The sequence below is a fragment of the Homo sapiens genome, chromosome 4 (assembly GCF_000001405.40).
Source record: "Homo sapiens chromosome 4, GRCh38.p14 Primary Assembly".
In the NCBI taxonomy this organism is placed as follows: domain Eukaryota; kingdom Metazoa; phylum Chordata; class Mammalia; order Primates; family Hominidae; genus Homo; species Homo sapiens.
In genome coordinates this window covers 118727973-118754045 of record NC_000004.12, presented here as the reverse complement: position 1 = coordinate 118754045, position 26073 = coordinate 118727973, and the positions used below count along the sequence as shown (strand labels likewise).

At 37.6% G+C, this 26073-nt stretch overlaps 1 protein-coding gene across 2 annotated transcripts in view; it reads left to right on the top strand.

The window, feature by feature from the left end:
* The window catches only part of SEC24D (SEC24 homolog D, COPII component), a 113304-nt gene that overhangs the window by 82081 nt on the left and 5150 nt on the right, over nucleotides 1–26073 (top strand). For both annotated transcript variants that reach the window (NM_014822.4, NM_001318066.2), the window contains exons 12-22: nucleotides 1158–1349; nucleotides 1957–2050; nucleotides 8986–9102; nucleotides 9888–10058; nucleotides 13009–13105; nucleotides 13238–13383; nucleotides 14759–14897; nucleotides 15667–15785; nucleotides 21134–21313; nucleotides 22539–22730; nucleotides 25396–25485. In NM_014822.4, coding sequence (NP_055637.2) covers nucleotides 1158–1349; nucleotides 1957–2050; nucleotides 8986–9102; nucleotides 9888–10058; nucleotides 13009–13105; nucleotides 13238–13383; nucleotides 14759–14897; nucleotides 15667–15785; nucleotides 21134–21313; nucleotides 22539–22730; nucleotides 25396–25485 — 1537 coding nt within the window. The remainder of the gene's footprint in view (nucleotides 1–1157; nucleotides 1350–1956; nucleotides 2051–8985; nucleotides 9103–9887; nucleotides 10059–13008; nucleotides 13106–13237; nucleotides 13384–14758; nucleotides 14898–15666; nucleotides 15786–21133; nucleotides 21314–22538; nucleotides 22731–25395; nucleotides 25486–26073) is intronic.

The window sequence follows — 26073 nt, the reverse complement described above, 5'->3', positions numbered from 1 at the left end:
ATCAAAGAAATTGGTAAGTCTGCAGCAGAATCAGCAATTTGAACTTGAGATACTTCCATCTAGATACTTCCATTTTCCTCTCCCTTGTACTCAAGTAACTCTTTAGGCCGTATGCAAAATTTAGAAGCTGGGCAAACCAGGTTCCTTTTCAAAAAAGTTGTCCTTTAATCAAAATAAGTTATGCTGACATCTAATGGTCAAAGAAAGTGGCATGTATGTTTTGTGTCTTTTCTTTAACCATTGAGCACTATGTAATATTCTCCATTGAAAATTGGTAAGAGCATCAATAGTATCTATGTGTTTTCTTTTAGGGGAGACAAAAATAGACTGTACAATGCACTCAACAAACATGAAACTAAGTTTAGACCATGAAATTCTGAAGGTACTCACTATAGACTATAGACTGGAACGAGAACATTCATGCCTTTATACTTACAGGAATACTAAGGCCTCGTTTTGGAATTCCTTAAAAAAAAAAATCTACTTTTTGTTACAGTTTTAGAGCTTTGGAGCTTTTTAGTGCTTTGCCATGACCATCATAAATGGTCACCTAATAACAATTACACTGTCATTTTATAAATGTAACTTATTTTATATATTTATACTATGTGTTTATAAGGTATATAGTTCCCCAAATCTAGCCTATTTTCTGTTGAGATTCTCTGATATGTAAGAAAAGAATCAGAGAAGAGGAGCAAGTGTTTTCTCAATAAAAGCAGCTGTCCTGTTAGTAATATGAGTATGGCTTCCTCATCCCTTGCTTCAAATATTCCATTTGTTCTTCTGACCTTCTGGTGACTTTTGAGAGAGCCTTGTTTATAAGGAATGTAAGAAGCCTAGCTTATTCATGAAAAAAGCATTATTGTTTTCTATAGATTGAAAATAAATATGTTACAGAAATATGAACAAGTGTTTACTTGATTTTTACCTAGAATTTTGAGGATTTTTTTCCTTATCAGTTTGTTTATTTTTGTAATAACTCCTATCCCCCATTGCCGTGACTAGTATTGTTTACACTTGGTAACAGAAAGTAAGACAAAAACTTTAAACATGTTTTTATGTATTTTATAGAAGACACACTTACTGAATTTCAGATAGAAACCTCCTTTTCATCTAAATTTATAAAGCATCTCAAACACTTTTTTTTTTCCTTACAGGGAAGAGCAAGAAGAGACGTCTGCAATTCGAGTGGGTTTTATCACATATAACAAAGTTCTCCATTTCTTTAATGTGAAGAGTAATCTGGCCCAGCCTCAGATGATGGTGGTGACTGATGTTGGAGAAGTCTTTGTTCCTTTGTTGGATGGTTTCCTTGTCAACTATCAAGAATCCCAATCTGTGATTCATAAGTAAATATCAAGTGTTTTATAATTTAAAAGTAAATCAGGTGTTTTGTCTTTAATTGCACTGTGTTTTGATTCAATCATACATTGTTTTATCATTAGCAAGGGGGTTTCAAGACACAGATTATAAAACTCTATCATTTATGTTAAGTCAGTCTTTTTTAAATATAGACAAGTATCTAAGAGATTTTTAAATATAGACCAGTATCTAAGAATTTTTTAAATGCTCACATTCAGCCCTATTGGTTCTTCCTCTTTTTCTGGAAAGGTATCGCAAGGGAGCTATTTCCTATATATGGATGAATGTATTCAATGATGATGGTAATAACTGAAGATGTAGCCACTGTTCCAAGAATTTATGGTCTAAGAGATCAGTATTGCAGTGAATAGAAAAAATATCTACAAAGAATGATTTTGTAAATGTTCCATTCAAATCATAGATTTTGGTGCCAAGCCACGCTAAGATATCATTTCCTAAGGAAAAATTACCTATAGGTGTTGGTGTCAAATAAATACCATATGTGTTTAGGCTTGAAATGTTAGTGATTTATTGCTTGAAGTTTATTAAAATATGCTAAACATTTCAAACCTTTTGCTTACTCATGTCTTATAGTTTGTTGGACCAGATTCCAGACATGTTTGCAGACTCTAATGAAAATGAGACTGTCTTTGCTCCTGTCATCCAGGCTGGCATGGAAGCACTAAAGGTGAGAAGAAGCCACTTCTAATTGCTAGTAAATAAATTTTAAAAACAGAGAGACAAAAAATAAGAAAGTTTCATTTATGAAAGAAAAGACAGTCTTCATTAAAACGTGGGTCACTAGAGGCTATTCCAAACTTCCACTCAGATCTCAGGAGGAAATGACCAAAACCACAGATTGCTCCCAGTGTGTCCATTCCAGCACTGTTAGCATCTGAGCAACTCATTTTGCCAGGATTTCCAGTTTAGCTCCTCCCTCTGGCTTTTATATGAACTTTATATGGTCTATTTTAAAATTAGTCCAACAATATCAGAACTACCAGATTCCCATATCACCCTCCCCAGCCATGGGATTTTCAAACATGACAGGCCAAGGCCTTGTCACAGTCAGTGACAGAGATGTGAATGCTGATTGCCAGAAGTAGATGAGAGGTTGGCCATGTCTCCAGTTGGGAAGCTGAGTCCAAAATGACTCTGATCATTCTCATAGTAATGAAGACAGTAAACTGAAGAAGCCGTAATGATTAAAAAGCACTCACTCTCACGCCTGTAATCCCAGCACCTTGGGAGGCTGAGGCAGGCAGACCACCTGAAATTGGGAGTTTGAGTCCAGCCTGACCAACATGGAGAAACCCCGTCTCTACTAAAAATACAAAATTAGCCATGCGTGGTGGCACATACCTGTAATCCCAGCTACTTGGGAGGCTGAGGTGGGAGAATCGTTTGAACCCGGGAGGCAGAGGTTGTGGTGAGCCAAGATGGTGCCATTGCACTCCAGCCTGGGCAACAAGAGCGAAACTACATCTCAAAAAAAAAAAAAAAAAAAGCCCTCACTCTAAATCATCATTATTACCTTAACACAAGAGTCAAACCATTTTGGCCCTGACAGCTAGTTTCTAAAATTAATTTTAAAATGTTGTTATTAAAGTTAAATTTAAATTAACTTTTAACATAAAATGCTTAGTAATAATAACAAAAACAGCAACAACTGTATTACAGAACTGAGTTTATGAGACACTTCCCACATAATTTTATATCTAAATGTATAACTTGGTTCTAAGACAGTGATTCTTGCTTGGGTTTTTTTAATCTGCAAGAGTATTCATTTATGGGATCAAAGACTATTGTGGATATCACTCAAAAAGTCTCAGAATATATGTCAATTTAACATAAAATTAATAACAAATATTATAAAGCAACTTGAAGATATTAAGGCTCACCTAACAGAAGCAAACAAATAATAATTGGTTGGTCTTCAGAAAGAAAGGAATTTGTTTTATTCCACGTTACTACAAACAAATGTCTTCTATTTCAGTTTGAAAGGGTTGTTTTTGTTCTTCTCTCCTCCAATAAGGTATCTAGAAATCCATATGTAAATGTTCCTGTACACAATAAGTCATACATCACCCTACAAGTCTTTCTACTCTAAGAAGTTAGGACTGGGAATAATATTACATTCATGGATTTGTGTGTAAAAGGAAGGATGAGTAGATATTCATTAGCTAATATTTCACCAATTAAGAGAGCATAGTAGAGTTGTACAGCCAAGGTTCCACAGGATCTGAGTGTAGAGTTCCAGCTCAACCCCATATTTCATTTCTAAAAGGGAGCAATGCTATCTTACAACAATGGTTTCCACATTGGCAGTCCACAAGAGGTCTAGAGACTGCTTGGCAGCTTAGAAAGAAAAAATATATAAAGCAAATTGTGTACATGCATTCTATGTATCTGAAATTTGATACTAATTATGATGCATTATGAAAATCAGTATGTTCTTAATAGCCATGTTCTCCAAGGTTGCTCACGCAGTACAACGACTGCAGCAATCAGTATAGTCAGCCATCAGCCAGTTTACTAGAGTCCAACTCATTTCAGCTGATGTGATGTATCTTCATATCTTTTGCATCTTATTTTTTGTTATATTTGCAATTTTATTGTTATAGTAATGCATATTTTTACCTTGACATTTAAAAATGAGAAGAAACTAATATCTAAATATATAACAACTCAGGATAACTTCATAAATACAAACTTAATGAGTAGTATAATAATGTTCTTACAAAGTAGAATGAACTATCTTTATAAAAGGTAAATAACTCTTTATAAATAGATAAGGAACTGTCTTTACAAAGTGACACTGTTGGACGTAATGTCAATGGCAGTTACTGCTGTCCCTGCTGGCAAAGTAAACATTGTTCTCCCCAATGCCAGTTTCATGCAGAGGCTGCGTGATGCTCCACTGCTGTCCCTGCCCCTAGGCTGCTTAGAGTGTGCTGGAAGAGATGTAACTCTGTAATACAAAACATAATGTTCGTTGGTTATATTTTTTTAAATGGGGGTGGGAGAAGGGCAAAGAGTAACTTTAGAAAGCCCAGGACTGTGGCTGGTCAGCCAGATAACTCAGGATATTCTGCCCGGAAGACCAGAGATGAGAGTCTCATCCCCTGTGCACAGGGAGTAGAAATGGAAAGAACATAAAGTGAAAGCTTTCTTATCGTGTATTCAAGTGAAAACATTTCAGAACAGTACTCCCCTATTTGAATTATAACTTTATTATAACTTTATTTTCTATCAGCTAGATGCCAAGTAAAATCTATATATAATCAGTAGTAGTAAACTTCTTGAAGCAAACAGTAGACAAAAACTAACCAAAAATTGTGCTAATTTGTCATGAAGATAAACAGCAACTGTTTGGAAAGTTCTTATGCGTCCTTTTGAAAAGTCCTTGAAATATCCAGCTAAAGGCTTCAGTGCACTCTTTTCTGTTGTAAATGCTTCCATGTCCACAGCATCTTGTACTCATAGCATTTTTTCCCCACATAGTCTTTCAAAATCTGCATTTATTTCAAAATCTGACCTTCATAACTCAACTATACATGAATTGCTGGTATTGTCTTTTAACTTGGCCAAAGAACAGTTTTCTGAGTTAGCTATTATTTCCACCATAAAATTGGGGGTAAGATTTGGCAAAAAAAAAAAGAAGAAAAAAAAATTGGAAGAAAATGGCCTTTAGTGGTTATGCTTAAAATACATGATGAATTGGGGGGAATTTATCTGTAAATTATCCATAATACGTACCTAAGTGTGATTGCAGGGGAATGCATCACAAACAATGCTCCTTGCACAAAGGTTTATGGAGCACCATAGAATGGAAGGTGGTAGTCTCAATGGGGGTTGGAGAAACACAAAATCAAGGTCCTTCCTTTTCAGGGAGCCCTTGATCTACAGGAGAAGACAGTAGGATACTTAAAGTTGTGATACAAATGTCATTAATTCTAGGATAGTCTTTTCTATTAAAAAAAAAAGCAGGTAGAGATAATAAGCTCTGTCGAGGGTGTTAATAACTTGTCTCTCAGAGGAAAGGGTGTCAGAGCTGAATTTCAGACTATGAGTTCTCCAAGCCAGCCTCTCTCAACCTGTTTTCTGCCATGTTAAGAATGATATATGGCATTCATTAATTCTGTATGACTCGCTCCTATAGGCAGAGTCAGGCTTTGGTGAAAACATAAATTTTTGTAGGGAATAGAACATTTAATACATAGGAACTTTATCTTTTATTAATTTGCTACTTATAAAAGACTATATAATTGTGTGTTTATGAAATTATGGATCTAGAATTAACCATTTTATAAGGAAAAAATAAATATGACTTTTAAACAATATAGACCTTTTTTCCTAGTGGGCCCTGATTTTTTTTTCCCTCAGAGTTTTACTGTAGGTAATTTTCTTGTTTTTTTGAGATGGAGTCTAATTCTGTCACCCAGGGTGGAGTGCAGTGGCATGATCTCGGCTCACTGCAACCTCCACCTCCTAGGTTCAAGTGATGCTCCTGCCTCACCCTCCCAAGTAGCTGGGACTATAGATGTGTGCCACCACGCCCCAGCTAATTTTTTGTATTTTTAGTAGAGATGGGGTTTCACCGTGTTAGGCAGGATGATCTTGATCTCCTGACCTTGTGATCTGCCAGCCTGGGCCTCCCAAAGTGCTGGGATTACAGGCCTGAGCCACCACGCCCGGCCTACTATAGGTAATATTAACAAGACAATCAAGTATGTTTAATTATGATTAATAATGTGTACTGGATGATGGAATTCTCCCAACAATATTTTGTGTAGTTTAATGTATTGCCTATGTCATGGGATAATTGAGAATTAGAGAAGTTAAATAATTTGTCCAGTGTCATTCGGATAATAAAATGGCTGATTCTGATCATGGCAGGTGGGACCCATGTTCTTTACTGCTATAGTATAAAACGGCAATATTAATATGAGTAGAGAATGTCTAAATGAATAGAATTTTTGACAGTGAATGCCTTAGGGGAATTGGGTGGGCCAGGCAAGAAAAGTTGAGGAGAAGGTAGACTTTTTTTTAAAGCTTTATACCCTCTTTGATATTTGAATTTTTTTAAAAGTATTTTTATAATAATAAAAGCTACAGGCCTGGGCATGGTGGCTTACACCTGTAATCCCAGCACTTTGGGAGGCCAAGGTGGGCGGATCACCTGAGGTTGGGAGTTCGAGACCAGCCTGACCAACATGGAGAAGCCCCATCTCTACTAAAAATACAAAAATAGCTGGGCGTGGTGGCGCACGTCTGTAATCCCAGTTACTTGGGAGGCTGAGGCAGAAGAATCGCTTGAACCCAGGAGGCAGAGGTTGTGGTGAACCGAGATCACACCATTGCACTCCACCCTGGGGCAACAAGAGCAAAACTTCATCTCAAAAAAAAAAAAAAAAAAAGCTACAGAAATGATAAATTCACAGTCATAGAATTTCAGAGTTTTCAACATGCTTAACATTTTATAATCAATATTACTGTAAATTTTACTCTGATTTGGTCATTGGAGCTCATGTGTCTTTACTGGCCAAAACCTTGCTAGTCTCTTTCTCCTATGCAGCGTACATATACCTGTAGATTCGTACATGTGCTTCTTCATTTATCCTTGTGTTCTTATTAATGCTGCATCTATCAATAATTTTCGGTGGAAGACATATGCAACAATAAGATCACAGCACACAAATTTTTGCTCACTACTGGCCATAGCAGAGACAAGACAGCAGGCCCCAGGTTACACCCCTTCTCAGTGTGTCAGCTGTGTCTTCACCTCTCTGACCCACTCCACAGAGCTTAGAATGTCACTCACTGAGAGAGACATTGGGACAGGACTGACCTTGAATTCTCTCTCTTTGTTTTTAAGAGAGCTATTCACAAACCTAAGTACCTTATTATTAGTAGCACTTACTGCACATCTTGCAAATGAGCCAGGCACACTGTGCCTTTGCAAATAACAGCTGCAGGCAGAGAGCTGGAGAAATGGATTCCAGGCCAAGGGAACAGAATGTGCACAGATATGGAGGTGTGTAAAGCATGTGGTGTATCCCAGGAAAGCAAGAAGCTTGTGTGGCTAAAACTTCCAGTGCAAGCAGATGTCAGGGGTAAAGACATGTTGGAAATAAGACTGGAAAGATAGATTCAGACTCAACTTCAAAGGGCCTTTGAAGCTATCATTTACTGTTTGTGTGACCTGGGGCAAATTGGATGAGTCTCAGTTTTCCTATTCTTAAAATGCAAACAGTAGTACCTGCTGAACAAGGTTGTGAGTGTTAAAGAAAATACATGTGAAGAGCCTGGCACAGAGCTGCATGCAATAAATGTCGGTAGCAGCTCATCTCACTGTTTCTTACCCTTCCTGCTCCCACCCAGATAAAGGACTGTGGACGTTATCCTGTACTAGAAAGCCTTCAGGATGCCTTCCCTCCCTCCCTCCCTCCCTCCCCCAACCTCCCCTCCCTCCTTCCTTCCTTCTTTCCTCCTTTTCTTCCTTTGTTTGAGACAGGATCTTGCTGTCACCTAGGCTGGAGTGCAGTGGCATGATCATAGCTCACTGCAGCCTCAAACTCCTAGGCTTAAGCAATCCTCTCACCTCAGCCTCCTGAGTAGCTGAGACTACAAGCATGCATCACCATGCTCAGCTAGTCTTTTTATTTTTGTAGAGACAAGAGTCTCACTATGTTGCCTGGGCTGGTCTCAAACTCCTGGGTTCAAGCAGTCCTCCTGCATTGGCCTCCCAAGGTGTTGGGATTACAGGCGTGAGCTACTGTGCTCAGCTCTTCAGGATTCATAAGGATAAAAGCCACATACCTGATCAGAGCTATTGTCTTCACTTCAGAGGCAGTGCTCTGGAGCAGTGTGCAGTATGGCTTGGAAAAAGGCAGGGGTTGGAAGGACAATATATTGAATCATACTTAATTCCAGGAAATTTTGCTTAGTAGGTTACTTCTTAGCTCCTTAAATAAAATTTTAAATCTTGATTCTTAATGCTGACTTGACTGTCATGGAGCTTTGACTCTTCTTTTTGTTGCTTCCCAGAGACTACAGATATATAATCTTGATCCCACACTTTTCCTTTTGGCCTCATGCCTCATAGCTGGTTCCTGTTGTCTACTGTTGCCACACCACCACTACGTTCTTATGCATTCTTCCTCAAAATACCACTGTAGCTTTAATCCATGTTTACTGAAGATTTGAAATAAGAACTTCTCTGGCATCACCATCCTGGGAATTCTACCATCTACTTTACATTATGGGATTTACCTGGTCCTGAAAGACTATACTGTAGGCTAAATAAGAAAGTATTTCGTCGTAACACATCATTTTAATAGTTTTTTTAAAGTGTTATGATACACAGACCTATCTTTAAATGTTGGCTCTCTTTCATTTACAAATTTTATGACTTTTGGCTTGTCCTCTCTCAGCCTCAGTTTTCTAATCTGTAAAATAGAATAGTACCTGCCCAAGGACACAAAGGTTATTATGAGGATTAAATTAAATGAATATAGTGCTTAGCTCATAGAAAGAACTTATATTTTATTTTCTGATTCTCTTAAAATGTTCCTACTCACGGCATTTTCTGTGGGTTTTTGGGTTTTTTTTTTTTTTTAGGCAGCAGACTGTCCTGGGAAGCTGTTCATCTTCCATTCTTCCTTGCCAACTGCTGAAGCACCAGGGAAGCTCAAAAACAGAGATGACAAAAAACTGGTTAATACAGACAAAGAGAAGGTACTTTGTAACTCTTTGAGTATCCATATGTCAATTATTAAGAGGAGTTAAAGAGGCAGTGTGTTCTTCATGTAAGAAAAAAGGGGAGAAACTAAATCTCATAAATTAAGTCCAGGGCATTGCATATTACAGGAATATTTTGGATTACAGACAACTTAAAATATTTTATATTCCTAGAAAAACCGATGTCTGAAATATGTAAATTAAAATAAGGCCCCAGGCTGGGCGCGGTGGCTCATGCCTGTAATCCCAGCACTTTGGGAGGCCAAGGCAGGTGGATTACGAGGTCAGGAGTTTTACCATGTTAGACAAACTCTTCCCTTGGCGGCAGAGGCCTGAGGCATGAAGCACAGGTGTGGGGTTCTCAAAATATGCCTTCACCTAAAACCTCTGACAGTGTAGCAGTGAGGGGAATGTCTGTGGGAAGGATAAGGCTATGGATATAGGGACCCAACTAGTGGTTACACGGCAACACACAAGTTGCCTCATCTAAGTCTGTAAAGTAAGGGCTGCAGTATCAGCTCCATTAGGATTGATGGAGTATCAAATAAAATTAAACACACAATTATTTCACACAGCACGGACCTGGCACAGACTGGGTGCTCAGCAGGTGGCCACTGCACTGATGATGACCACAGTGTGTTTCTTCAGCCCAGTTCACTTAACGGGAAAATGTCTATTTTTCCATTTTGAAAATTCAATAAGAATTCAATAGAAATTTAAAATTTAAACCAAAAACATTTTGTAATTTTTATTTTTTCTTTTTTTTTGCATCTTTTTTCCAGATACTTTTCCAGCCCCAAACAAATGTCTATGACTCATTGGCCAAGGACTGCGTGGCTCACGGCTGCTCTGTGACACTCTTCCTCTTTCCTAGTCAGTATGTGGACGTGGCCTCGCTGGGGCTGGTTCCTCAGCTCACTGGAGGAACCCTTTACAAATACAACAATTTCCAGGTAAATGCCAGCAATTTGTTCACCTTGGTCTTCTACTCCCATTTTAATTTTGTTGTTTAGATTATAGGTTTAAAAAGCTGTGTTCCCTGGTGGGTAGATGACACATATAAATTCAAGAGCAGATGGAAAACAAAGTATACCGTTGGTCCTTTTTATAAGGAGAGTTCTGCATCTTGGCTTCAACCAACCTCGGATCAAAAATACTCAGAACCAAATATTGCATTATACTGAATATGTACAGACTTTTTTCTTGTCATTATCCCCTATAGGATAACAATTATTTACATAACGTTCACATTGTATTGGGTATTACAAGTAACATAGGCAGGGCACAGTGGCCCAATGCCTGTAATCCCAGTGCTTTGAGAGGTTGAGGTGGGAAGATCACGTGAGGGCGGGAGTTCAAAATCAGCCTGGGCTACATAGCAAGACCCTGTCTCTACAAAAAATTTAAAAATAAGTAACCTACAGGTGATTTAAGGGACACGTAAAATGTGTGTAGGTTATATGCAAATATGCCATTTTATGTCAGGGACTTGAGCATCTGGTGGAGTTTGGTATCTGTGGGAGGTTCTGGATCAAATCCCTCACAGATAACGAGAGACAACTGTGTGTGTGTGTGTGTGTGTGTATATATATATATAGGAACCATATATATTTATGGTTCGGCAATTCCATACTTCCTAAGTGTTTGGTGATAGAATGAGCTCATTCATCCTCAGAGTCAAATATCAATGTGAGCTTTCATAATGGAGAAAAATATATTTTATGTAAAATATACTTAAGATAATGTTTTTAAAAGTGACTGCATATTTGTTTTAAATTATTGGGATTTTAGGGATCAATTCATTACACTTCTCTTTTCCAAGCCTGATTGAGAGAGATATTCAAGAGACAATCAAAATGTCAGCACTATAATGGGCCTGAGTCTGCAGGCAAGTGGGCTTGCTGATTCACCCCTGAATTTCACAAACTTATGCGCCCCGGCACAGAGTGGGCACGATCTGAGTTTCTCCTGTGGACCCCTGTGCCTTGAAAAAAACACTGTATTGAGGGACAGAAAATATGTGCCTCCTGCAGGCAAGCTGCCTTCCTATGGAGAGGACCCAGAAGAGGCTGGGCTGTGCCCACCCAGTTCCTTTTCCCAAACTTATTAATCAGATGAGTCACTCCCCATCACCTAAGGAGAAGGGGTCAGGGGTGTACCTCTAATGTGTGTGCCTGGGCAGGCGTGGAGGCATGGACTGGGAAGGTGTATTCTCCAACATAAATGACAAATGTTAGTCATCATCTGTTTTTATTAATCATCAATAAAATTATGAATAGAGACTAGTTACATATTTCTTTATAAACTAAGGGACTTGATAAGACCAAAGATTGTAAATGAAATAAAATTGAAAAAGCTTTAACAACTCTTTCTAAGACTTCTGGATAAAAGTATGTTTTTTCAGATACACTCTAGAAAATAAACTTTTAATAATCATACAGAATTCTGACCCTTACTGATTCTACCCACATTCTGGGTATTGAGGTACATGAAGCCTACCATGCTAATCAATTTTAGCTCCTTTTCCAGTTAGGGGGATAAATTTCATCAGAAGCTTTCCCCCCCCCACTTTTCCAAAAAGGACTTTATCATCTTCCATTCCTGGCATATGTGAATTGTGCTGGGGTTCTTGCTAGGTCCTTTGCTATGTACTGGTGTGATCATCTACATGGTAGTGACTTGGCTTCAAAGAGCAGCCTACCAAGTGATGTGTAGGCAGGGGGTGCTCTGTGGTGTAATCATCCAGGCTTATTACTTTTTTTTTTCTATTTAAGTTTTTGAGTTACTTGCCAACCCCATGTCATTTCTGATATAAAAGGATATTTACTTGTACCTCAGTGTATCCATAATTATTACTGATTCTTTCAATGTTACTAAAAAAGAAATGTTATAATGCAGCAGAGGAAAAGCCAGTAAGATGTAAACAGGCAGTAAAATATTTTATAATAAAAGAGTGTTAATGTTGCCTATGCTGCCATTCAGTTGTTTGTTTACTCCAGTTGTTGCAAAACTGAATCCTGCCGTAGCATTTCTTTCTTATCTTCAACAATACAAATTTTAATAGTCTTTTCCATTCAATAACATTGTAAGATAAAAATGATGGTCAAGAACTATGCAGGCACCACCCAGTTGTATGTAAGCAACTAAAGGGATTATTGTAAAGATTGTGTCTATGATCTCCCTCTTTCCTTTCCTCCTTCATTCCCTTCGTGTTTGGGACTGGGGGGAAGGGATGAGATGCGTGCGTCAGTGTCTCTCCTATGTGTCAAGTAGTAGTGAGAATTTCCTAAAGAGTTTCACTGACAGATGAGAAGCTTTAGAAGCTCAGCTAGTTTGTTTCCTCTCTTGGGTGACCTCTGAGCTCAGTATTGTGCACATGTGCATATTATATAAATGTTGCTTAGTTGTGGAATGTGGACAGTTTTCAGAAATACGGTGATCGTAGAGTAGTTAACAGGGCTAGGAGAAGGGGTTTCTACTTTCCCTGACATAGCTTCACAAAGCTCTGAATGTGGTCAGACTTAAAAAGCCCCAATTGCAAGGTCTTTCCCTAGCCTCATTAAACGGGTATTATACATTGGGTCTTAACCTTGTCTCTAACCCTAAGCCACTGAGTGGATCACTTATGCTCTCTTAATTTTCCCATTTGCAATTAATAACCGATTTTCTCATCCAAGTGTTAAAATGAAAGAAAATAATAGATGAGATTTTAGTTTCAAAAGTTAAGAAACACTGTCCAAAAATGCTATATTTTCTTTAACCAAAGAAGCATAATATATAATAAAAAAATATGCTAAATCGGGATTTTAAAAATAATTATTATAACTCAGGATTAAAATGAGAACGTTATTTTAAGTATTTTACTGCCATCTGGTGGACATTGATTAGACTTTTATTTTTTAGATGCACTTGGATAGACAACAATTTTTGAACGACCTCAGAAATGATATTGAAAAGAAAATAGGCTTTGATGCTATTATGAGGGTTCGTACCAGCACAGGTAATTATCATTTATACAATTCTTCGGGTCTCTCTTGAATAATTGTTTCTTTTTCAAATTAATAACAGGCCAACAAAGAAAATAACAGTAGAATAAAGACAAGCAAAATTTCCCTTTTTCCCTTATCTTTAGGTTTCAGAGCCACTGATTTCTTTGGTGGAATCTTGATGAACAACACCACCGATGTAGAAATGGCTGCCATCGATTGTGACAAGGCAGTGACCGTGGAGTTCAAGCACGATGACAAACTCAGTGAAGACAGTGGAGCCTTAATCCAGGTGATTGAAAGTGTATTCCCACCTTTCGTTATTTTAGTTTGTTGCCGACAATGATCAGTGGGGAGACTGAAATACCATCAAATGTGTTAGTCTCTTCATAAAAAAATTCAACTCTTTCTCCAAAGTCAAAAGTCAGTAGATTAGAACACTCAGTTGGGAGGTTTCTCCATACTCATTCATATTTGCTACTTATATGAAGTGACAATTATGTGTCATTGCATGCAAGTCCAGCAAATTTGTGGTAAGTATCACAGGCATCAGCAAACTGACTTCCAACGGTATTCACTTCTGTTAGGCTTCAGCACCTATTCACATCTACCATATGAATATTAATTTGCTAGGGCTGCTATAACAAACACTACAGAATAAGCAGCTTAAACAACAGAAATTTATTTTCTCACAGTTCTGGAGGCTGGAATTCCAAGATCAAGGTTTCTGAGGGCCTAGAGGGAAGGATCTGTTCCAGGCCCCTGTCCTTGGTTTGTAGATGGTTTTCTTCTCCCTGTGTCTTCACATCATCTTCCCTCTGTTACATGCCTATATCCAAAGTTTTTCCTCTTATAAGGACACCAGTCATAGTGAATTAGGGTGCACTCTAATGAACTCATTTTAATTAATTTACCTCTTTAAATACCTCATCTCCAAATACTTAGGTACTAGGGGGTTAGGACATTTGAGGAGCCACAGTTCAGCCCGTAATACGATGTTAAGCAAGTGGAATAGGATTTGGCTTTCTTTAAAGTGAAACTAACTAGAAGCCATAGAGACTGAATTAAAACAAGAAAAACTATGACCACTAGATATACATGGTCATAGTTTCCAAACATTGGCATCATCTTTAAAGGATGAAGAGAGGCTGGCATTAGGTTGAAGAAGAACTTTTAACTAAAGTTTATTTTTTAATCACATATATTTGGTGAAATGCTTCTATCTATGCATTCTTCAAATGTATATCATCAGCATAAGACCTAAGTCCATTGTGAAAGCTAGTTGTATGTTTTTAAGAAAGTGAGCCTTGAGTAGGGCTCTGAGCACATGAAGGTATTGTTTCTGCCCCTGGATCCCTGGTAATAAAACATGAGCTATGAAAAATGCAGACTAGTTGTAGAAATGTGAAATAGATATTTACATGTGAATCACTCAACAATTTAAACCAGTGAAGTGCTACATTGAAACCCAGCAAATGAATGGGTCATTATTCTCCCATATTTCCTGTTGTTCATTCTTTAACAATAATAGAAAAAAAACTGTGGAAAAATAGTTAGAGGTCTTTTATCTATCTGTACACAGTGTTTTGTAAATGCAAGTAAGATCAAGTTAGCTTGGGTGGATATGTTAATCAGAAAAACATGTGACCTCAATGTTGCTTCTACAGTGTGCTGTGCTTTACACGACAATCAGTGGTCAAAGAAGACTTCGGATTCACAATCTTGGCTTAAACTGCAGCTCTCAGCTAGCTGATCTTTATAAGAGCTGTGAGACAGATGCTCTTATCAACTTCTTTGCCAAGTCAGGTAACACTTTGCCAATCCTGAGGTTCAGTAAACCTTGCTTAGTAATTCAGTCAAGATTTGTCAGTAGCTAAAAAGCACTGTAGTTTTGCAACCTTATGGTGGGTAAATTCAGAACTAATAAAAGCAAAGGCTGAGAGAGAATAGTCAGCATTCCTAACTCTAAATTAATAAGTGAGGTAACTCAGTTCAGGGTCTGGCTATACAGACTTACTTAAAGTTAACTTCTGGGGTGGCAGTCTGAGTTGAAATTTAGGAATATGATGCTTAGACCCTTATTATGGTACATGATCATGCCCTCTGACACATTGGGTTAATGGACAGAGACGATCTCTAATGTTAGACTAAACTTGCTTATCCATACCATGATAACTATGAAATAGAATGGGCCCAAGGTGGAATTTTCTTTGGCTTTCCTTGAGAAATTCTACACTAAAGTTTGGAAAAGGTAGCAATCCAGCCCGTAAGAATTCAGGACATCAAAAAATGACAAATTGGCCTGTCTTTTTTTCTGTGTGTACAATTCTAATATTCTGAAGGTAAATCTGGCCAATATAACCTTTTGCTGTAGGTAGGCCAATGTTCTCCATTAGTTAGATCATCATATTTAGTCAAGAGGAGACCATTAGCAAATGACTTGAACAGATTTAAATGCTATTATTCTTGCTGGGTGGTCTGAAGATAATAGCAACTTGTTCTTTTTTGTTTGATTATTTGAAGAGATCAGTGTCTGAGCTAAAACTCATGTCCTTTTCATTGTTTTGTGATGTAGCTTTTAAAGCAGTTCTCCACCAGCCTTTGAAGGTCATCCGGGAAATTCTAGTTAATCAGACTGCCCATATGTTGGCATGTTACCGGAAGAATTGTGCAAGTCCTTCTGCAGCAAGCCAGGTGAGCTACCTATTGCACATAGATGTTAAAGTGTTACAAACGACTACTCATTTCTTCAGCACATAGCTATAGAAGGCTTATGATGTTGCAGGCACTTAGATGCTGTTACAGTAAACAGTGTAGCTGAGAAGATTAAGAATGCAATTTGGGGGGGCTGTGGTTTTTTTTTTTATAGCCAACATTTAAAAATGTGAACAAAAAAAATGGATGTGCATATTCAGTTGACAGTCACTACGGTATGTATAAACAAAAGAATGTTATATGTAAGAAGTGTCCTAATATAAACAGGATTCTGTTTTGTATCCAGAGATGGGTATTTTGTTATGAAATGTGTATGCTTAAATACATTTTAGGCATATTAACAAAGTTGACATGAGCTGATGGCAGTAATAACATTTTATAAACAAATATAATTTATAAATATAAATACAGGAATTCTTTACATTTAAAAGTTATTAATAGGTGTGAAGAGTTTTCAAAGAATTGACTCTCTCCATCATCTAGTAATTTGAAATTTTAGAAGATTCTTTGAATAAACCTCATTTAGTCTCTCTCCTATAAAAGGAAAAGCAGAACCTCAAGTCCACATTTATTTTGCATTTGCTCTCTTGTTCACATTCTTCTCTATGTCAATAAAAGTTAGATGGCATTTTTTATAGCTGTGTATCAAATATGTGAATATAGAATTCCAACTAAAATAGCAATAGATGGGAAAACTTTCTAGTTCATTCATTGTCAAAAGTGAGTGCTGAGAGGACATCTGAAGCCCCACCTAAAAGTAAATCCTCAGCAGGAAAGATAATGCAGATAAATTTTGGGTCCAAATTCTTAATCTGGGCAAAGAAAGAAAACAAACACACTTACTAGATGGATTTTTCATAAAAGTTCCTTTCCATGCTGTCCAAAGTGATTAAATTAGTCATCCATTCTTTTATCTCTTCTGTTGATAATCATATAAGCAACTCCTGAATCTATATGAGTATTCAGTCTTCTTTATTATTCAGAAGATTTGCCATTTTAGTCAACTCAAATATCAGTACTATTTCATAGCATGCTAGTTCAGGTTACACAAAGCCCACCAGGTACACCTGGAATCTAGCCAGAATGCAGTCCAATCATGAGCACTTTAAACATTTACCTCATTTTACTATTTGTCTTAGAGCTATGGAAACATTATTCTGTTTCTGGAGTATCTCACACTTCAGGAGCATTAGTTGAAGCAGTACAGATACAGTTAGTGTCCTCTCTGGACATTCATTTGTTAACTTTGAAACAACTGGATTCAAAGACCTTAAGTTAAAAACAAACTTATTGCCTATTTATGGAAGAAAAACCTGTTATTTTATTCTGGTTTAAAAGTTAAAAGCATTGCCTCTACCACTGGATAACCTGTTTGCACAATTAAATGATTTCCGGAGTTAAAACATTATGATTATAAATTTTCTCTGAATAAGTTGATAGGAGATTATTCCTGTTCTTATAATGAGGTTTTTCCATTAGCACTTTTCAAGTGTGCCTTTCAACCAATGATATGTTTTTAAAAAATAATGTAACTTAAGTACCTTATGATTAACCATCATGGAGTCTAGAAAATGTGGAGATTCTAAAACAGTATTGTCTGAAAACATAGAATAGTTGGACTTAATGTTCTCTTCAGAAAATCTAACTGTAAACTTGGTACTTTCCTACAGTTCACTTGTGAAAAATAATATCTATGAAGATGGAGAGATTCCTAAAGGAATTCCACTATTTTACCATAGAGCCCAAAGTTTCCTTGACCCAAGCAAGACCATCAAGGAGCTATCTGGATTGTATGATACTGGACCTCAGTAGAACTACTTTTACTGAATTGCTGGAGCCAAAACTAGGCTGCAGCAAGAGAAGGCAATTAGGGTACAAAATCTAAGGAAGCTGTCATTCTGAGGATCATATGATAGATGCTGGGTTAAGACATATGGCTGGGCATGGTGGCTCATGCCTGTAATCCCAGCCCTTTGAGAGGCCAAGGCAGGTGGATCACTTGAGGTCAGGAGTTCAAGACCAGCCTGGGCAACATGGTGAAACCCCACATCTACTAAAAATACAAAAACAGCTGGGCGTGGTGGCATGGACCTCTAATCCCAGTTACTTAGGAGGCTGAGGCAGGAGAATAGCTTGAACCCAGGAGGTGGACGTTGCAGTGAGCCGAGATCATGCCACTCGACTCCAGCGTGGGCAAAAAAAAAAAAAAAAAAAAAAAGACATATAACTAGAAACAAGATAAATTAGGCTGGGTGCAGTGGCTCACACTTGTAATCCTAGCACTTTGGGAGGCCAAGACAGGAGGATTGCTTGAGGCCAGCAGTTGAAGGCCAGCCTGGGCAACATATCGAAACCTCCACCTCTACTAAAAATAAAAACTTAGCCAGGTGTAGTGGTACATGCCTATAGTCCCAGCCACTCAGGAGGCTGAGGCAAGAGGATCCCTGGAACCCAGGAGCTTGAGGATGCAGCGAGCTATGATTGTGCCACCATACTCTAGCCTGGATGACAAAGTGAGACCCTGTATCTTTAAAAAAAAAAAAAAAAAAGCAAACTTTAAGGCTTATAAGGCTTACATAAGCAATGTAGATTCTTTTAATTAAATCTAATATCTCACTGTTCTGAGCTTAAATATATCAATATCATATGGGAGTGCATTCATTTCAAAAGGCAAGTCAAATGACCTTAACTGCAAAATAAGCTTTCTTTTTAAAAAAGAAAAACAAAAAAAACCTCATTACCACTTCTGTCACTTTAAAACCTAAAGAAGGAAAGAATTTTCCAAATTCAAGCAAGCTCGACTTATATGAATTACTGCTCCCACCTCACTCTCATTCTTTACTCCCAAAGAATAATTTAGTTATTTATGGAGGGGGTCAGTCGGGTGGGGAGATTTTACAGTGGTAATCCATGGCCACATTTTCTTCCTCACCTCAAAAACATTGAATAAGATTGTCTTCTTGTTTTCTTTCATTCTTTAACTCCATTTTTTTGGTTTTGTTTTCATGATTAGATTTTCCTTCTCATTTACCACCTGTTTTTCTTCCCTCTGCCTTCTATAATCCAATCTCCTCTGATTAGACTTTTTAGTCCCAATAGTGTCATTGTGGGCCAACCTCACCCCTTTGTGGTATTTAGGATCACAGATTTCTGAACTCTTAATATGACCTCATTAATTAGAAGCAACCAGTGAAATTTCAATCTGATATTTTCAAACCAAATGGACATGCTTTATACAGGAATCTAAGAACATTCTTGATCCTTGATCTTGATAACATGTAAAATGGCTAACTAGTAACTAGACCAGAAATAGCATCGGGGCGATCTATCTGGTTCCTGCATCTTTTTATCATAGTTTTCCTTGGCTGAGAAAGTAATCCAGTACCAAATGTTGTTAAATGAAGATATATTATGCTAGAGAAAAAATTAGAAGAGAGTGTTCTACTCTTATGAATAAACATATATTTAACTGTCCTTGGTTCTTTGAAAGGAGATTAGAAGTTGACGGGGGAAACAAACTGCAAAGTAGAATCATTCTGAAATACGTTTGCCTGAGACGGTTAGAAAGTTCTGTTCCCCACATTCCTTACTTAGTACATCATGAGAAGAGACTTACGATATGAATTTAAGATGCAGAATAAATTCTAACAGACCCTCAGGGACATTTTCTTTTCAGTGTGGATTCTGATAACTCTATATCCATTTTCATCATCAAGACAGAAAACTAAGCCAGGCATGGTGGCTCACGCCTGTGATCCCAGCAGTTTGGGAGGCTGAGGTGGGCGGATTGCTTGAGGTCAGGAGTTTGAGACCAGCCTGGCCAACATGGCGAAACCCCATCTCTACTAAAAAAACAAAAGTTAGCCGGGTGTGGTGGTACATGCCTGTAATCCCAGGTACTCAGGAGGCTGAGGCAGGAGAATCACTTGAACCCAGGAGGCAAGGTTGCAGTGACCCGAGATTGCGCCGCTGCACTCCAGCCTGGGCAACAGAGTGAGACTCCATCTCAAAAAATAAAAATAAAAAAGAGAGAAAGCTAAAAAGAAACCATTAATTTATAGATCAGATATTTCATTTATCTGTTTGCAAGTTATTATCTCGTATGTATAATTTTTCTTTTGGATATGTCCTTGTTCACTGACTTGTGCTATTAAGTGGAAGGAAGTGACATTCAGATCAGTCAAACTTGATTATTAGCTATTCTAACAATATTGATTTAGGAGAAAGTTAAACAATATAGGACACTATAATTTCTTAAATCATCAGGTTGTGTTCCTAGAATTGCTGCATTGTGTTAGGTTGTAGTATCTCACAAGGGCATGTACTTTGGGGCAGTTAGAATGAGGTCATGTGAGCCAAAGTGAGGGTGGAGAGAAGGTACAGGTAGATTATGAAGGTAGAATTAAAAGGATTTGTTTATTAATTGAGGGTAAAGAAATAAATGAATTAGGGTTCATCTGGAAGTTCTACACTGAATAGGAAACATGGGAGGAAGAACGTGTTTGTGGAATTGTAGGAGTTTGATTTTGCATGTTATCATTCATTAATGACACATCTAAATGCATGAAGCATTTCCTTTTTTAATCTATAGTACTGCAATCTCTTTATTATGTTTTATGTATTTATATGTCTATCCCCAGCGAACTTCAAGCATCTTACAACATGGACTATGCCTTATTCCTTTTTATATCCTTGACACTTTGCACAGAACCTATGACACAATGGCATTTAATATTTTTTTGATGAGTTTAAGATGCATGAAAAGCATAACGGAAGAGATATCCTGTTGGCAGTTAGAAATGCTATTCTTGAAGTGGAAATATAGGTTATGAAATCATTTTTAAAAAATTTTATTAAACTATGTATATATCTAAACATATATATATGGTATATCCTATGTGCTAGGCACTATTGTGCTTTACAAATCATTTAATTATCATAACCCAATTATGAAGTAGATATACTATTATTCCATATTCAGCTAAAAAAAAAAAACACTGAGAAAAAGACAGGGTAAGTAATTTGCCCAGGGTCACACACCTGCTAAAAGACAGAGCTGGGATTGCATCCTAAGCAGTGAGTGGGTAGTGCTGATAACAGCTACACCAGACTGCTGTAGCACTAGATAAAATAAAAACAACTGCTGCTCTTTGAATGCCTACTCTGTGCCAGTTACTGTGTGCTCTAGGTGTTTTACATGGGTTACCAGTTAATCCTTACATCCTTACAAGTTCAGAAGCAAATAATGTTTCAGTCTTACAGATGAAGCTCAGGGAATTGTTCTCAGTAAAGATCAAGCGTATGAAACAAAAAATTGTCTTTTTCAGCTTATTCTACCAGATTCCATGAAAGTATTGCCAGTGTACATGAATTGCTTGTTGAAAAACTGTGTACTACTCAGCAGACCAGAGATCTCAACTGATGAACGAGCATACCAGAGACAGCTGGTCATGACCATGGGTGTGGCTGACTCTCAGCTTTTCTTCTACCCACAACTTCTGCCCATAGTAAGCATGCTGGGGTGGTGCATTTCCCAGAGGAGGCTGGAAGGGAATCATATTTTGTGCTTTCCCGTATGTTATATCTGAAATATGTTGTTCTTAAGAGGAAAGTTAAAGTCACAAATGCCTTCAAAATATATGGTGTGGGATTTCGAGCAGGGGCTCTTTCTGCAAGTTGCTTATGTGCATCAGTATGTGTTCACTATGGTGAGGGGAGGGAATCTGAGGAGTTCTGCGTCTCTTTCAGTCTGTTTTCAGCACAGAAGTTAGGGCATCCTGTTAAAATAATTGTCAGCTCTGGCCAGGTGCCGTGGCTCACGTCTGTAATCCCAGCACTTTGGGAGGCCAAGGCGGGCAGATTGCCTGAGGTCAGGAGTTTGAGACCAGTCTGGCCAACATGGTGAAACCCCATCTCTACTAAAAAATACAAAAAAATTAGCCGGGCGTGGTGGTATGTGCCTGTAATCCCAGCTACTCGTGGGGGGCTGAGGCAGGGGAATTGCTTGAACCAGGGAGGTGGAGGTTGCAGTGAGCCGAGATAGTGCCTCCAGCCTGGGTGACAGAGCAAGACTCCGTCTCAAAAAATAAAATAAAATAAAATTGTCAGCTCGTATTACTTCTTTGCTCAAAACACTCCAGGATTTCCCATCTCAGTTCCTACCACCCTGGCCCAGTGCTGTGTGCCCCGCCCTCCCCTCCCTTCTAGAAATCTTCTGTTACTCTCCCTTTCCCCATCCCACTTCAGCCACACTGGGCTTCATGCTGATCCTCAAACACTCCATTTGGGCCCTTGCTTTAGGACCAGTGCACTAGCTTTTCCTTCCATCTGAAATGGTCTTCTCCAGTTGTCCCGATGGCACCTTCTCTTACCTCCTCAGGTTACCTTCTTAAAAGTTTGTGGGCTCCCTGGACTACCCTAGTTAAAATTTGTCCGCACCTTTATCAGCGACACACCCCATCCCACTTTTGTGCATCTTTTCTTCATAACTCTTCACACCATCTATATTCTGTATATTTTACTTATTTTATGTGTTGTCTCTTCCTCCCTGCACAAAACCATTTGCTGTGCAAGGTAGGGATTATTTTCTAATGACTGGAATAAAGTCTGGCACATAATAGGTACTCACTATGCATTGAGGGAGGGGAGGGAGGAAAAAGGAAAGGAAAAGAGGAAGGAGGGAAGGGAAGGGGAAGAAAGGAGTTTCTAACTCTTTTGTCTGTGCCTGCCCAGCACACGTTAGATGTCAAGAGTACAATGTTACCTGCTGCCGTTCGTTGCTCTGAGTCCCGTCTTTCAGAAGAAGGAATATTCTTACTGGCTAATGGTCTACACATGTTCCTGTGGTTGGGAGTAAGCAGCCCACCAGAACTGATCCAAGGAATATTTAATGTGCCATCTTTTGCACATATCAACACAGATATGGTAAGTATTATTTTCATTGCTTTTGTGGTAATATGAAAAATATAAATTCGTAAATGTTTTTATTTATGTGCAGTCAAATATTACAGAAAGAAAAATAATAAGGCATATATTTCTGTATATGAAAGAAATAATTTCATGTTTTGATCAATATCAATTAGCTGGTATAAAGTTATTTGTATAGAGTACTTTCAAACAACTAAAATATGTGACTTTAATAGAAAATGCTAACACTTCCAGATCATTAACTATGTGCCAGTCTCTGTACTCTAAATACTTAAATATACCATTTCAGTTAATTGTCATAACAAATCAGTGAGATGGATATGGTCTCAACATTTTACAGAGGAATCAGTTGAGGCTTGGAGACAAGTTCCTTCAGGTAGTAAAGTGGCAGAGATGGGAACTGAATTCAGTTCTTATGCTCTGGACTCATCCCTGGTGCTGAACTGCATACTCAGAAGAATGTAGAAATCTTTCATAAGTGTTTGGCTACAGACTAAATCAGATTACTGAGTTAACAAATAATAATTCCATAAAAAGAGACTATACACCCCTCTGTTGCAATAACAACAAAAGAAATTGTGAGTTTGATGTTAAATTAATACAAATGACTATTTTAAAGTATCTTAGGAAAACCCAGCTTATAATTTGTACAAGAGTCAACATTTATTGCAAACGTTATTTGTAGACCATTGTTGTGTGAGCATCACTGCCGATGGCTATTGTTTGACTCTGATAGTGGATTCCAGTAGAGCTCAGCAGATAGTTAGTTTCCTGAAGGCTCACTTACATTGTGGCAAGATGGCTTAAGTCTAGTTGTTGAACCCAATTGTATGAAGTACAGTTTATCAATATATATAGCATCTTGCAGAAAGAGGCAAGATTAAAATTCAAGGCCATGACAGGTGATCAGTTTAGAGAGCTGCATATTCATGAGGAATGTCAAAAGTGTATTTTTAAGAGAATTCAGGGGCATCAATATTCCAGTTAGAGATTGGTTTTAAGATGAAGATTTAGAAATTGATATCTGCATATGTTTGAAATTAAGAAATGATTATAAATGCAATTTAAAAAAATAAAATTCAGTAGGCAAAGAACTATGAGTCTGAAGAATGTTTATATAAAAGTTAAGGAAGCTTCCTCTTGTAATATATTGACATAGTAAATGCTGAATGCATAGTTGCTGAACTGAACATCCACAGGAAATAGCCAGTGTCTCTACCACAAGGCAGCAGATTGGTAGGTCTGTGCTTATATCAGCATACTGGTATTTCCTTGACTTTCATCAACAAAATGAAACAAAGTTAAAAACCAAATGTAAGCTACTTTCTTTTTAGAGGCAGCTGGCACTTTAAAACACATACATGAAGAATACTTACGTTGTTTGTTGAATAAATAGATCTACCATAATATGCCACATAATGCATATAGGGGATGGGAGTGTGAATGTAAATAATGAATTTTTTGCTTTCCTTACTCCTGTGAAAAACATTGACCATAAACTTTTCCTGACACTTGAGGTTTATGGTGAAACATTCTAACTCACATGTTCTCTGGCCAACTCACAGTGATGCATTGGCTGTTGGCATCTTCTTGCTGAGAAGCAAACATTAGCATTTTACTCTGTCTTAACGGAAGAAATGTAAGTCAAAATCCTTCATATCACCTGGATGCCACGTGCAGCTGGATTGGCCTGTAGACCACTAACCAGATTTCTGGGCTATCTAAGACGCTGCATTCCCTTTGAGAAATCAACATTTGGTAGTTTGTTTTAATGCCGGAACAGTAGTACTTGGATGGAATTTTCCATCCACTGAAGGAACAAAGTACATTCTTTTCTCTCGCAACATAGCCTTGAATCTTGAAAAGGGATCAAACTTTCACAGGAAGTTGTTTGCATAAAACATATACTATTGTCTCTTGGTATCCATGGGGAATTGGTTCCAGAATACTCTATAAATTAACAGATGCTGAAGTCCCTCATATAAAATGGCATGGTATTTGCATATAACTTGTACATATACCCCCATATATTTTAAATCATCTCTAGATTACTTATAACACCAGCTGGGCACGGTGGCTCACACCTATAATCCCAGCACTTTGGGAGGCTGAAGCGGGAGGATTGCTTGAGTGCAGGCGTTCAAGACCAGCCTGGGCAACATAGTGAGACCCTCTCTCTATCAAAAAAAAAAAAAGATTACTTATAACACCTAATACAATATAAAATGCTATGTAAATAGTTGTTAAACTATATTGTTTACAGAATAATGACAAAAAAAACCCAAAATCCATGCCTTTTCAGTACAGATGCATTTTTTACAAATAATATTTTTGTCTGTGGTTGGCTGAATCCATGGATGCAGAACCCATGGATACAGAGGGCTGACTACGTCTGTGCTGTATCATTTCAGTGATGTACATGTGTCAAATTCCAGAGGAAGAGTTTTTTCCAAAAGACAGAAATAATTGTCTTCTGTCAATTATGGGAATGGGTGCCAATAATTTTTAGTGCATTTTCCCCACAGTTTTGGTTTTCAGGTAATGAACTACACCAATGTTCAAGTACATGGTTTTATGTTTTTAACATTATGATAATCTCATATTGCTACTTCTATCTAAATGTTATAAACTGTACTAAAACTTTGATTTTCTTAAATCTAAGACATTGCTGCCTGAAGTGGGAAACCCATACTCTCAACAACTCAGAATGATAATGGGTATTATCCAACAAAAGAGGCCATATTCAATGAAGGTAAGAAAGCAATTTTATTTTTCCCTTTATTCAAATGTTAAAAATTTCATTAAAGACTTAACATGCACACCCTATATTTTTATGACGTGATCTTTGATTTTAAAAACTCACACCATCACAAATCTAAAATAAAAGTTAAAAAAACCTCACATTAACCTCTAAGTATATCTACCTACTTACCAGTCACAAACATAAATGGCTATTACCATGGGTTAACTATGGGGTATCTTAAGTCAGTATTAACTTCATGATTTAATAGCAATTGGTACCATTAACAGACTTTGAAGTGACTTTTCTTCTGGTGCCTAAAATTACTTAATTATAAAAGTATCATTTAGAACATTTGTAAAATTTGATTTATTACAATGTTTAATTTATAATCTCTGAAAAGTTTTGTTATTCTTGTCCTTCCAAGCCCTTCTAGCCTTTTCTGAGTTTGAGTAAAAAATTTTAATATGTCTAGAACCCAAGAAAATTATATGTTGTTGCCACGTTCCAGATACTTACTTGTTTTCCTTCCCAAGCTCAATATTAGAGTCTCCTGGGATCTAGAATGTATAGATGATGATGATGTGCTGTGTAACACTG